A 10534-nucleotide genomic window follows, 5' to 3' on the forward strand; every position below is an offset into this window, starting at 1 on the left:
AGGTCTTTGTATATTTTGCATATAAGTCCTTTATCCGATATGTGTTTTACAAATGTTTTCTCCCAATCTGTAGCTTGTCTTTTCTCTTAATACTGTTTTTTGCAAATCAGAAAATTTTAAGGAAGTTCAACTTACCAATTTTTTCATTTGATGGGTTATACTTTTGGTATTGTATCTAAAAACTCATCATCAAACCCAGTGTCACCTACGTTATTGTCTAGAAGTTTTATTGTTTTGTGTTTTACATTACGTGCACACTCCATTTTGAGTTACTCTTTCTTTTTTTTTTTCGAGATGGAGTCTTGCTTTGTTGCCCAGGCTGGAGTGCAGTGGTACGATCTCGGCTCACTGCAACCCCTGCCTCCTGGGTTCAAGCGGTTCTCCTTCCTCAGCTTCTTGAATAGCTGGGACCACAGGTGGATGCTAGCACACCCAGCTAATTTTTTTTTTTTTTAATTTTTAGTAGAGACGGGGTTTCACCATGTTGGCCAGGCTGGTCTTAAACTCCTGATGATCTGCCCGCCTTGGCCTCCCAAAGTGCTGGGGTTACAGGCATGAGCCACTGCACCCGGCCCATTTTGAGTAATTTTTTATGAGAGGTGTAAAATCAGAGTTAATTTTTATGAAAGGTGTGAAGTCATGTCTAGATTAAATTTTGTTTGCATGTGGATGTCCAGTTGTTTCAGCACCATTTGTTGAAAAGATAATTCTTTCTTCATTGAATTGCCTTTGCTCCTTTGTCAAAGATCAGTTGACTATATTTACATGGGTCTACTACTGGGCTCTGTATTCATTCCACTGATCTGTTTGTCTATTCTTTCAACCAACACTACACTGCCTTGATAATTGTAGCTTTATAGTAAGTCTTAAAATCAGGTAGTGTGAGTCCTCTGACTTTGTTCTTCTTCAATATTGTGTTGACTATTCTGGGTCTTTCCCTATAAACTTTAGATCCAGTTTGTTGATATCCAGAAAATAACTTGCTGAGATTTCTACTGGGATTGCATTGAATCTATAGATCAAGTTGGGTAAATGTACCTTTCAACTAATGAAAACACTAAGGCTCAGAGACGCAAATTGACTTGCCTAAGGTCAGCGTAATTAACACCCATATTTCCTTGATTCTAACAGAAACATTTTATGGTCTCTAAAATGGAGGTACATCGTACAGTTGATGCTGACAGGTGACAGTCATAACAAAGTTGTCATTGCCATACATGCATATTAAAATTTGCACAATGTGGGCAGTGGCTTTGGAAAGAAAATCCCAGAGACAAAAGTGGGGCAGCCCTTTAAGAAATGGTGCACCACCAATGCCCTTGATGGCCCAGAACCAGTTCCATGTGGGCAAATGTGGACACTGATGCCATGGAAGCTAAACAGTTCAGAAGAGAAGGACTCTTGAGCATGGAGTTCTGGGAGCAACTGAGCTGATTTATTAGTTGATATCTCCCTCTTTGTGTATGCACAAAAGTGATAGAGGATTTTTTAAAACCCTCAAAATCCTAAATTGAAACAAGTTTAAAAAACAGCTCTTTTGCCAAATATAAAATAAAAATATAAAGTGATAGGAAGCCCTGTGTCATGGTTTACAGGTCTAGTTTGTGTCATCACTTAAGGCTGTGGTTTATTCTCTCTCCCTTACTCCCTGCTTCCCTCCCTCCCTCTGTCCCTCCCTCTCTCCCTTCCTTTCTTCCTTCCTTCCTTTCTTTCCAGGGTCTTGCTGTGTCACCCAAGCTGGAGTGCAGTGGCATCGTGAACATGGCTCATGGCAGCCTCAACCTCCTGGACTCAAGTGATCTTCTGATCCTCCTGCCTCAGCCTCCTGTGTAGCTGGGACCACAGTCTCATGCCACTATGTCTGGCTAATTTTTTTTTTTTTTTGTAGAGGTGGGGGTCTTACTTCGTTGCCCAGGCTGGTCTCAAACCCCTGGGCTCAAGCGATCCTCCTGCATAGGCTTCCCCAAGTGCTGGGATTACCGGTGTGAACCACTGCACCTGGCCTGTTTATTCTTTCTTAGTGAGACTTAAAATAACAGTGCATCTTAAAATTGATGTACAGTAAACAGCTGCATCAGTCAGCCTCCTGGGAGAAATCCCATGGCATACATGAAAGAGGTCATGAGTTTAAAAGGGGAATATTTACAGAGGTGTGAGTCGGTTGAGGGAAGCCAACAAGGGATGGCACAGTGTCACAGCGCTGGTGACGTCCTGAAGGGCAAGGAGGAAGAGGGGTTACAAAACCTGGAGAGAGGCTGCAGGAAAGGGCAGGCTGTCAGGAGCTGCAGTCTTTGCTAGGAAAAGGTCCAGGGGAATAAATAAATAGCCAACCTCAGTCTCAAGGTACCCTCTGATCTTGTGCCTACATCTACTATTGTGGGAACTCACTGGGAACCAGGGGTCCAGGAGTCCTTGAATGGCGTCCGCAGAGACCAGAGAACAGCGTGGAGGGTCGGGGTGGGTCTAGGGGGAAAATGGAAACTGCCTGTGAGCACGGAGCCAGGATCCTGGTGTGCTGCCTCTGTGCACCTAACCGTAGTACTGTGCACTTAGGTCCTCGGGGAAGGGCAGTTGACCAGGTAGACAGGGCATCCTGAGCTCCATGCCTATTTGAGAAAGCCACTAGTTCTCCACAATCAGTGGACTCATGTGCCCCAATCCCATTCACGTGGCCAGGTCCAGCCTTTGGCAGCTGTTCCCGCCTCTCCCCCTCTCTCCTAAGCACGTGATTTATAATGTGGAACCCTGTGTGGGGAGAAATGAAGTGTCTGCTACAGCCAAAACTTGGCTCCAGGAAGGCAGATATCAACTCACACACCCGATGATGGACAGCGGGACCTCGTGGTGCAGCGTGTTTACAGCTTACAAGGGTGAGTTGTGCGTATTTCGAACTTGGCCCGGACGCCTACTTGCCCAATCAGCTTGTTGGGCGGTGTCTCTTCTGATTTAGAGCTCTGGATCTGCCAATTTGATTTCTGAAGCTAACTCTTAGGTTTGCCAAGTCTGCAGCAGGTCTGGGCTCACAGGATCTATGCACCGCAGAGCTAGGTCACCATTCTAGCCCCCCAGCCAGAAACTACAGATGAGGAGCTGAGACTGAGAAAGGGAAGGTGCTGGCCCCAGGTCACAGCACATGAGGGAGAACGAAACCCCTGGGGGCTGTGGTCTGTTGCCTGTGTTCAGGGCTCAGCTTGGCCTTAGGTCCTTAGGCAAAGGACCTAAATCTTGTCCTCAGTTTCCTGGTCTGCAAAGTGTGGGTGATAATAATACCTACCTCACAGGGTGGTTGTGAGAATCAAATCAGCTATGAGCCAGAGGGGCGGTGAGCAACTTTGAGCAGTACCTGGAGCTGTCTCATGTCCATGACCACAGTGAGCTAGCCCAGAGTATGCCCTCAGTGTTTGTTGAGTGACTTCATTAGTGTGAAGGGCTTCATGGACTGTCACGTGTGGAGGACATGCTGCTGGTTATGTTCATTAGTGCTCCGTAACAGGGCTGGTCCCTTGAAAGCCAGGAATCCCACCAACCCTGTCCATGGGCTGGAGGGCCTCCTTGATGAAGAATGTCCTGTCAGCTTTCCTTAGTGACAAATCCAGACTTCCTACTCACGTGATTTAAGGGAGATAATGATGGTTTGAGCAAGAACCACCCAGCTGTCAGGTGCTGTGGTGTGCAGCCGACCCACCCTGGACACTTATTGCTTGTCTGGTAGTCGAGGCACTTATGAAGCCCTGGGTCTCGAGAATCAGCCCCTGTAGGAATGAGGCCCCTGGGGCTTTGGGGAGGATGGGATTTGGATGAGCCCAGCAGCATCTCTGCTCTGCAGCACAGAAGCACAAGGAAAATTCTCAGCTCCTGGGGCTGATCTGGGAGGAGCCCAGAAAGGCCACATGGCCCTCTCGGTGCTGCTGCAATTTCCAGAGACAAATGATTCTGGCAATAAGAACTCAGAAGTTGGACAAGGCCTCAGAATGGCTCGTCCTGGCCGCTTTATGGAGAAAGAGACAGAGGCCCAGTGAGTAGAGGGGCTGGCCATGTAACACCACAGGCCAGCCTAGAACTCAGGTCCTCCTGTTCTCCCCAATCACATTCTGGGGAGAGGGTCCAGGTTCCAGGAAGTAGGCACTCCAGATGCTGTCATGGAGCAGGGAGGATGTTCTCAGCACAGGGGCTGCTCTGCAAGACTCCATCTAGTTTAAAGGGATGGCTGTGCCTCAAACAATGCAGTACGTAGCCTGTGCAACTGTACACAGCAGCCCTAGTTGGAATCCACATAAAAGAGATGATGCCGACAGTGTCAAGGGCATGTCCAGAAGTGACCCATATGCAGTAGAGATGTCCCCAGGTCCTTGTTAGCTGGCTTTTTCCTTAAGGAATGGGGATACTACCCAGTTAGTCAACTTCAGAAAGTCCATAGTGGAAGGGCCTTTGGAGGCCTCCTCCTCTGGACTCTTTACGACATAAATAAGGAAACTGGGGCTGAAAGAAGAGCAGGGACTTATCCACAATCACACGTTGAGTTGGTCTCACTTTCTCTTCACCAGCTCTGCTGAGGACCCCGCTATGACTCTGGATGTTTCCATGAGCTGGCTGTGGTCTCACTCACACTGGGGCCACCTGTCACCCCACACTCCTGGCCGCCTGTCCACCTCTGCACCCCTCCTCTTCCATCCATTCTGCATGCCCTTGCTGAGGAAACTTTCCCCAATACCAACATCCTAACATTTCTCCGGCTCCTCTTGCCAGTTCATTCTCCTTCCTGCTGCTCCGGATTCCTCTTCTAAGGGCCGTCTGGAAGCTCCAGTCACCCCCGCACAAGCCGTCAGAGCCTCTCACGCCCTGACGCCTTTGCTGTCCTGCAGGCTTCCCCCTCCCCCGTTCCTCCTGGTACCCCAGCCTTTCCAGCCAGCCTGGTTGCCATATGACCCGTGGCCCATCTGCTCCTGATGTGAACCTGTGTCCCACGGATCCTGAATCCTGAATACCATAGTCACCTGGCATTGCCTTCCACTTCTACTCCCTCTTCCTCTGCCCCGGCCCCTGGGCTTCACCCAGGGGATAGTAATGGTCACTGTCTGGCCTCTGTGTCCCCAGTCTCTGCCCTTGTGGAGTTGAAAAGCCTTCAAAGACCCTTGTGGGTTTCTATGAGAAATCCAAACCTCTGCGTGGCTTAAGAGGCTTGTTCAGGTCTAGGGCCAGGCCATGCTGAACTCTCTCACCCCGTCGCTCGTCACTGCTCCCCTCTCTCCAGCTATATCCAAATGTGTGTCATTCTCATCAAGCTTTTGCAGGCTCTGTCCCTTCCACACTCTGCTCACATTTCCCAGAGCCCCCTCTCCTCTCCTTCACCTGCTCTTTACCCCGAAACACTCAGTTCAAATGCCCCCTTCTCCAAAAGGCATTCCCAAAAACACCCTGGGCGATTTTAATACCTGAAGCGCCAAGAATCTCAACCTTTTCCACCGTCCCAAGGCAGTCACAGGAGGACACATGTCCATGGGCTGGGCCGGGTTTTTGGCATGGTTGCTCTAACTCCTCACCTAGAACATTCTAGGAAGCCTGTCATGTCAGTAAGGCTGATGTATGTATAGGAATAACCTGACTTCCACTTTGATTTGTAGAGTGAATCATGGACGTCAGTCTTGGAGCAGTGCCCGGGCACACCTGCTTTGCTGGGAAACTCACGGTGGATTGCAGCCCCCTGGGGGGTGCCACACCCCACTGTTCCGCCACCACTTTCCAGGCAGGGTTGTAACTGATTGCATGTCAGCCTCCTGCTGGGCTGTTAGCCCCGGTGTGTGAGGCATCCTGGTGACGTTCCTTCTGCTCTTTTGGTGGAGGCAGTTGTGGTGGGGTGGGGATAGCACTGCGCTAGGGCCAAGGGTCCCCATGGCTTCTCCCCTTGGGATGGCAGAGGGAGGGAGAGGCCCGCTCAGGGACCCGCTCACTCTAGACCTTCTGTTTCTGACTCTGGAGGGATGGGCCCAGAGCTGTGCTTGTTAACAAGCTCACAGCGGGCTGGGCATGGTGGCTTACTCCTGTAATCTCAGCACCTTGGGAGTCCGAGGCAGGGGGATTGCTTGAATCTAGGAGTTCAAGACAATCCTGGGCAACATAGAGAGATCCCATCTCTACAAAAAATGTAAAAACTAGCTGGGTGTGGTGGCGTTTGCCTGTGGTCCTAGCTACTCGGGAGGCTGAGGTGGGAGGATCACTTGAACCCCAGAGGTCAAGGCTGCAGTGAGCCATGATTGCATTGCATCACTGTACTTCAGCCTGGGCAACAGAGTAAGACACTGTCTCAAAAAAAAAAAAAAAATCCAGGGGAGTTGGGATCTGGCATTCTGGCATTTGGGAACTTTTGGGTCGCCATTCCCACAAGGCTTCACGTCCATCATTGCATAACTCTGCGGCAGAGCAAGTGGCTATGGATACACCTGTTCACAGGTAAGGGAGGCTCAGAGATGGGGGTCTTGCTAGAGGCAGCACAGTTAGGCTATGTGGCATCTGAAAAGACACACCCGAGCCTCTCTCCCCAGTACCCCTGCGTTTCTGCTCCTGCACCCCTGAAATTTGAAGACCTGAATGTTCACTATTGCACGGACTAAATTTACAGCGGGGAGCAGACGGGGGAGGTGGGGAGCGGACTCTGAGTTCTCTCCATTATGTTGCAGGCCCTGGAAGTTGAGCCGGGCTGTTTGGATTATGAAGCCAGAGTCGGCAAGGCCTGGGCCACCTGGTGGCTACTCTGGGAACTGCAGGCAGGTACCCAGGAAGCAACAACAGGCCTGTTGTGGACCCCTATTCTGCACGGGAGGCAAAGGCCACTCTGCTTGTTATGATGACTGAACAACTGCACAGAGGCACCAATGCCCATTTGAGGAGCTGGCTCCTTTTGATTCAGGTTTAGAAATCTAAAGTCTCCGAGTCCGGCCTGGCTGGGCTCCAGGCAAGTTGGGGCTCTTCTGGACCTGTTTCCCGTCTGCTGGTGAAGAGGCTGGATTTAATCTCTGGGGAGCCTGCTTGGCTCTGAAAGTCTTCTATGGCATGAGTAGGGACAACTGATGACAATTCAACACAGCAAATTCTTGTTCAAGTCCGAGTTTCGGGATTTGGGGAGGGGTCCTGCACACCTTGAGCTTGGAAATGTGCTACCCCACCTCCTGGGGAAAGAAAAAAGACGGGCTGAAATGAGCCCAGTTCTCCTCTTGGACTCTCGTGCTCGCCAGGCGTTTTTCAAAGATGTTCAAATGAAAGCATAATTGAAAAATGAGGCTGTAACTCCGGGAGAAGGGGTGGCAGGCCCAGGGCTGCTGACTTAATCACGCCGCCTAATGTCATTACCTCTGTGTTAATAACCGGTGCGGCGGCCGCAGGGAAGGAGCCCTTCACTGTGGCTCAGACACTTTCCAGCTGACGGGGCTTTTCTTCTTCTGCTGTTTTTCACTGCAAACAAATGCCTTTCTCCATTCCAGAGAATTCCCTGGAGTGAGGTAAACATATGAGTGCAAATGGGCTTTTTCTTCTTCTTTCTGAAATTCTTGAGCAGGAAAAAGATGTGCAGGGCTGTATCCTGGGACAAGGGATGGCCGGTGCTCAGCAAAGTCCCAGAGACCAGCCCTTCCCCTCCCATCAGCAAGGCCCAGAGACCAGCCCTTTCCCCTCCCATGAGCAAGGCCCAGAGACCAGCCCTTTCCCCTCTCATCAGCAAGGCCCAGAGACCAGCCCCTTTCCCCTCCCATGAGCAAGGCCCAGAGACCAGCCCTTCCCCTCCCATCAGCAAGGCCCAGAGACCAGCCCCTTTCCCCTCCCAGGCTGGGAGACAGGAGACCCAGAGCTCACCTCGGGGATGCGCGCCTTTCTCTCTCTCCTCTTTCTCTCCTCACTCTCAAGGAAACGCTCTCGTGTCCCCTTCCTTCCCCTCAATCATCCCCTCCTCTCCCTTCCCCTCCTTTTTACCAAAAACTCACTGGACAGTGGCACCATCCAGACCAGAAAAGCAAAGGCTGGGGGACTGCTCTGGGCTCCACCCTCCCCCAAATGCTGGGCTCTTCTGGGCTCCAGCCCAGCCTTTGCCTCCTTTTCATTTTGGGAAATTTGACAAATGCAGAAAAATCCTAAAAGGAAAATGACAACACCCCATATCTCCACTGCTCTGAATTAACCACTGTTAATATGAGACATTAATATATACTTATATGTGGCATTTTCACTTCTAGACATTTTTTAAGGAAAAACCACTCTCTTCTTTATTATTAAACAGGATACATGCACATTTTAAGGAAGTCAAACGATCAGAAAAGTAAAGGGAACCAACCACCGCCACTGATTCCCACCACCCAGAATTTGCCGCTGCTATTTTGGTGTCTTTGCTGGTAGTCATTTTGCTATGTGCAAATTAAAGAAATGAGACAAATAGCATATACATCTATTCTCTTTTAAAAATTAGAGTTCTACAACACAATTAGAATCCCCTTTGTCCACACACTTTATTCTCGTGAGCCCGAGAAAACCACTGCTCTCAGGCTGTGGCTGCCCTTGGAGCCCATTGTAAGCACATTTACACACAAGTATGAATCCAGAGAAAACACGAGGTGTCATTTTGTGCTTTGTTTCTATCATGCCCTATCATTTTCAACTTGCTTTGTCCTCTTAATCTGTTCTGAGCTCTATTTTCACTGCTCCCTACATACTGCATTCTCCCACTCTCCTCCCCTCCCCCTCCCCTCCTCATGGGGCTGCCTCCTCTCTTGTCCTTCCCTCATGGCCCTGGGTGGAGAACATGCCTGCTGCCACCCAGGCCCACCTCTGAGCTGCTCCGCCTCCCAGCTGCTCCGCCTCCCAGCTGCTCCGCCTCTGGCCTGCGTTCTCCTTTAGTGCTCATCTGCTTCCGCTATCATATTATGAGCCAATTATCTGTTCTTCTCTTGGGGTTACAATCACCGCCTCTCTGTTCTTGGTACCTAGCCCAGTGGTGCTCATTAAATGTTTATTAATGAATGTGAATTAAGCCACTTTAATTGAGCTGCTGCCAAACCTGGATTTGCCTGCATACCTCCAGGGACAAGGGGCTCACTACCTAGATTCAGGTAGCAGCAGTGGGCTATCCAGCTGTGGCAGGCGGGGATCTCTAGCAAGGGTGTGCTTCCAGCTTGGCACACGTACTGCGGGGTGGAGAGGGCAGGTACACTGGAGTGAGACTTGTGTAGGGGGTTGAATTGTGTCCCCTAGAAAGATAAGCTGAAGCCCTAATGCCAGTACCGTGAATGTGACTTTACTTGAAAATAAATGCAATGAAGTTAAGGTGAGGTCATAAAGGATTAGGGTGGGCCTTACGTTCTTTACAAGAGAAAGGAAAGAAATTTGGATACAAAGACACAGACTATGTCTGGATGCAGGCAGAGAGTGGAGTCACTGCAGCTCTAAGCCAAGGAAGGCAGAGAATTGCTGGCAACCATCAGAGGCTAGAAGAGAGGCAAGGAAAAATTTTCCTCTAGAGCCTCCGGAGAGAGCTTGGCCCTGCTCACACCTTGATTTTGGTCTTCTGGCTTTCAAAACTGGGAGAGAATAAATTTGTCATACGTGGTTATGGCGGGCCTAGGAAACGAATTCAGCTTGTGATGCCACAAAAACTAACTGATGCAGCCACTGATGGGTTACATGTGACCTGAACAGGGCCAATGAGACTGTGCGGGACTGCCAGCTGCTCCCCAAAAGCCACTTCTCTTCTTCCTGAGCAGATGGCCAAGCTCAGCGTGGCCATGTGACTGGGGCCAACTTAATGGTTCGTGTAGGAGGCGGAGGGGCCGCAGCTGGGAAGAAGTGGGCAAGTCACTGTCTGCTTTTCTTTTCCCTTCCACAGGCTGGTTGCATGTGCCATGGCCTGGGGCAGGAGCAGCAAACCGAGGCCTGCAGGACAAGTGTGGCCTGTGGTCCTGTTTTTGCCCAACCCACAAGTTAAGAACGGTTATTCCGTTTTGTTTGTTTTTTGAAATATAGCTTCACTCTTTTGCCCAGGCTGGAGCGAAGTGACGAGATCTTGGCTCACTGCAACCTCCACCCGCCGGGTTCAAGCGATTCTCCTGCCTCAGCCTCCCAAGTAGCTGGGATTACAGGTGCTCACCACCACGTCCAGCTAATTTTTGTATTTTTAGTAGAGACAGAGTTTCACCATGTTGGCCAGGCTGGTCTCGAACTCCTAACCTCGGGTGATCCACCCACCTCAGCCTTCCAAAGTGCTGGGATGACAGCGTGAGCCACCACACCTGGCCAAGAATGGTTTTTACATTTTTAAAGTATTGTGAAAGAAGAAAGAAAGAAAGAAAGAGAGAAAGAAAGGAAGGAAGGAAGGGGAAAGAAAAAAGAGAAAGAAGAAAGAAAGAAAAAGAAGAAAAAGAAAGAAAGAAAAAAGAAAGAAAGAAAGAAAGAAAGAAAGAAAGAAAGAAAGAAAGAAAGACTGTGACAGAGACCCTCAAAGCCGAAAATGTTGACTCTCTGGCTCTTTCCAGGAAAAGTCTGCAGACTCCTGCCCTAG

General features: G+C 49.8%; 4 annotated features.

Moving 5' to 3' along the window:
- Window positions 4348-5325: an enhancer, noted in NCBI's record as "H3K4me1 hESC enhancer chr14:94357084-94358061 (GRCh37/hg19 assembly coordinates)". NCBI's record gives its function as "activates a minimal SCP1, AML or CMV promoter by ChIP-STARR-seq in primed H9 embryonic stem cells {active_cell/tissue: H9 hESC(primed)}" and the evidence as "EXISTENCE:reporter gene assay evidence [ECO:0000049][PMID:30033119]".
- Window positions 6361-7135: an enhancer, noted in NCBI's record as "H3K27ac-H3K4me1 hESC enhancer chr14:94359097-94359871 (GRCh37/hg19 assembly coordinates)". NCBI's record gives its function as "activates a minimal SCP1, AML or CMV promoter by ChIP-STARR-seq in naive and primed H9 embryonic stem cells {active_cell/tissue: H9 hESC(naive and primed)}" and the evidence as "EXISTENCE:reporter gene assay evidence [ECO:0000049][PMID:30033119]".
- Window positions 7136-7909: an enhancer, noted in NCBI's record as "H3K27ac-H3K4me1 hESC enhancer chr14:94359872-94360645 (GRCh37/hg19 assembly coordinates)". NCBI's record gives its function as "activates a minimal SCP1, AML or CMV promoter by ChIP-STARR-seq in primed H9 embryonic stem cells {active_cell/tissue: H9 hESC(primed)}" and the evidence as "EXISTENCE:reporter gene assay evidence [ECO:0000049][PMID:30033119]".
- Window positions 9819-10318: an enhancer, noted in NCBI's record as "H3K4me1 hESC enhancer chr14:94362555-94363054 (GRCh37/hg19 assembly coordinates)". NCBI's record gives its function as "activates a minimal SCP1, AML or CMV promoter by ChIP-STARR-seq in naive H9 embryonic stem cells {active_cell/tissue: H9 hESC(naive)}" and the evidence as "EXISTENCE:reporter gene assay evidence [ECO:0000049][PMID:30033119]".

Source organism: Homo sapiens, chromosome 14, assembly GCF_000001405.40.
Source record: "Homo sapiens chromosome 14, GRCh38.p14 Primary Assembly".
Taxonomy (NCBI): Eukaryota; Metazoa; Chordata; class Mammalia; order Primates; family Hominidae; genus Homo; species Homo sapiens.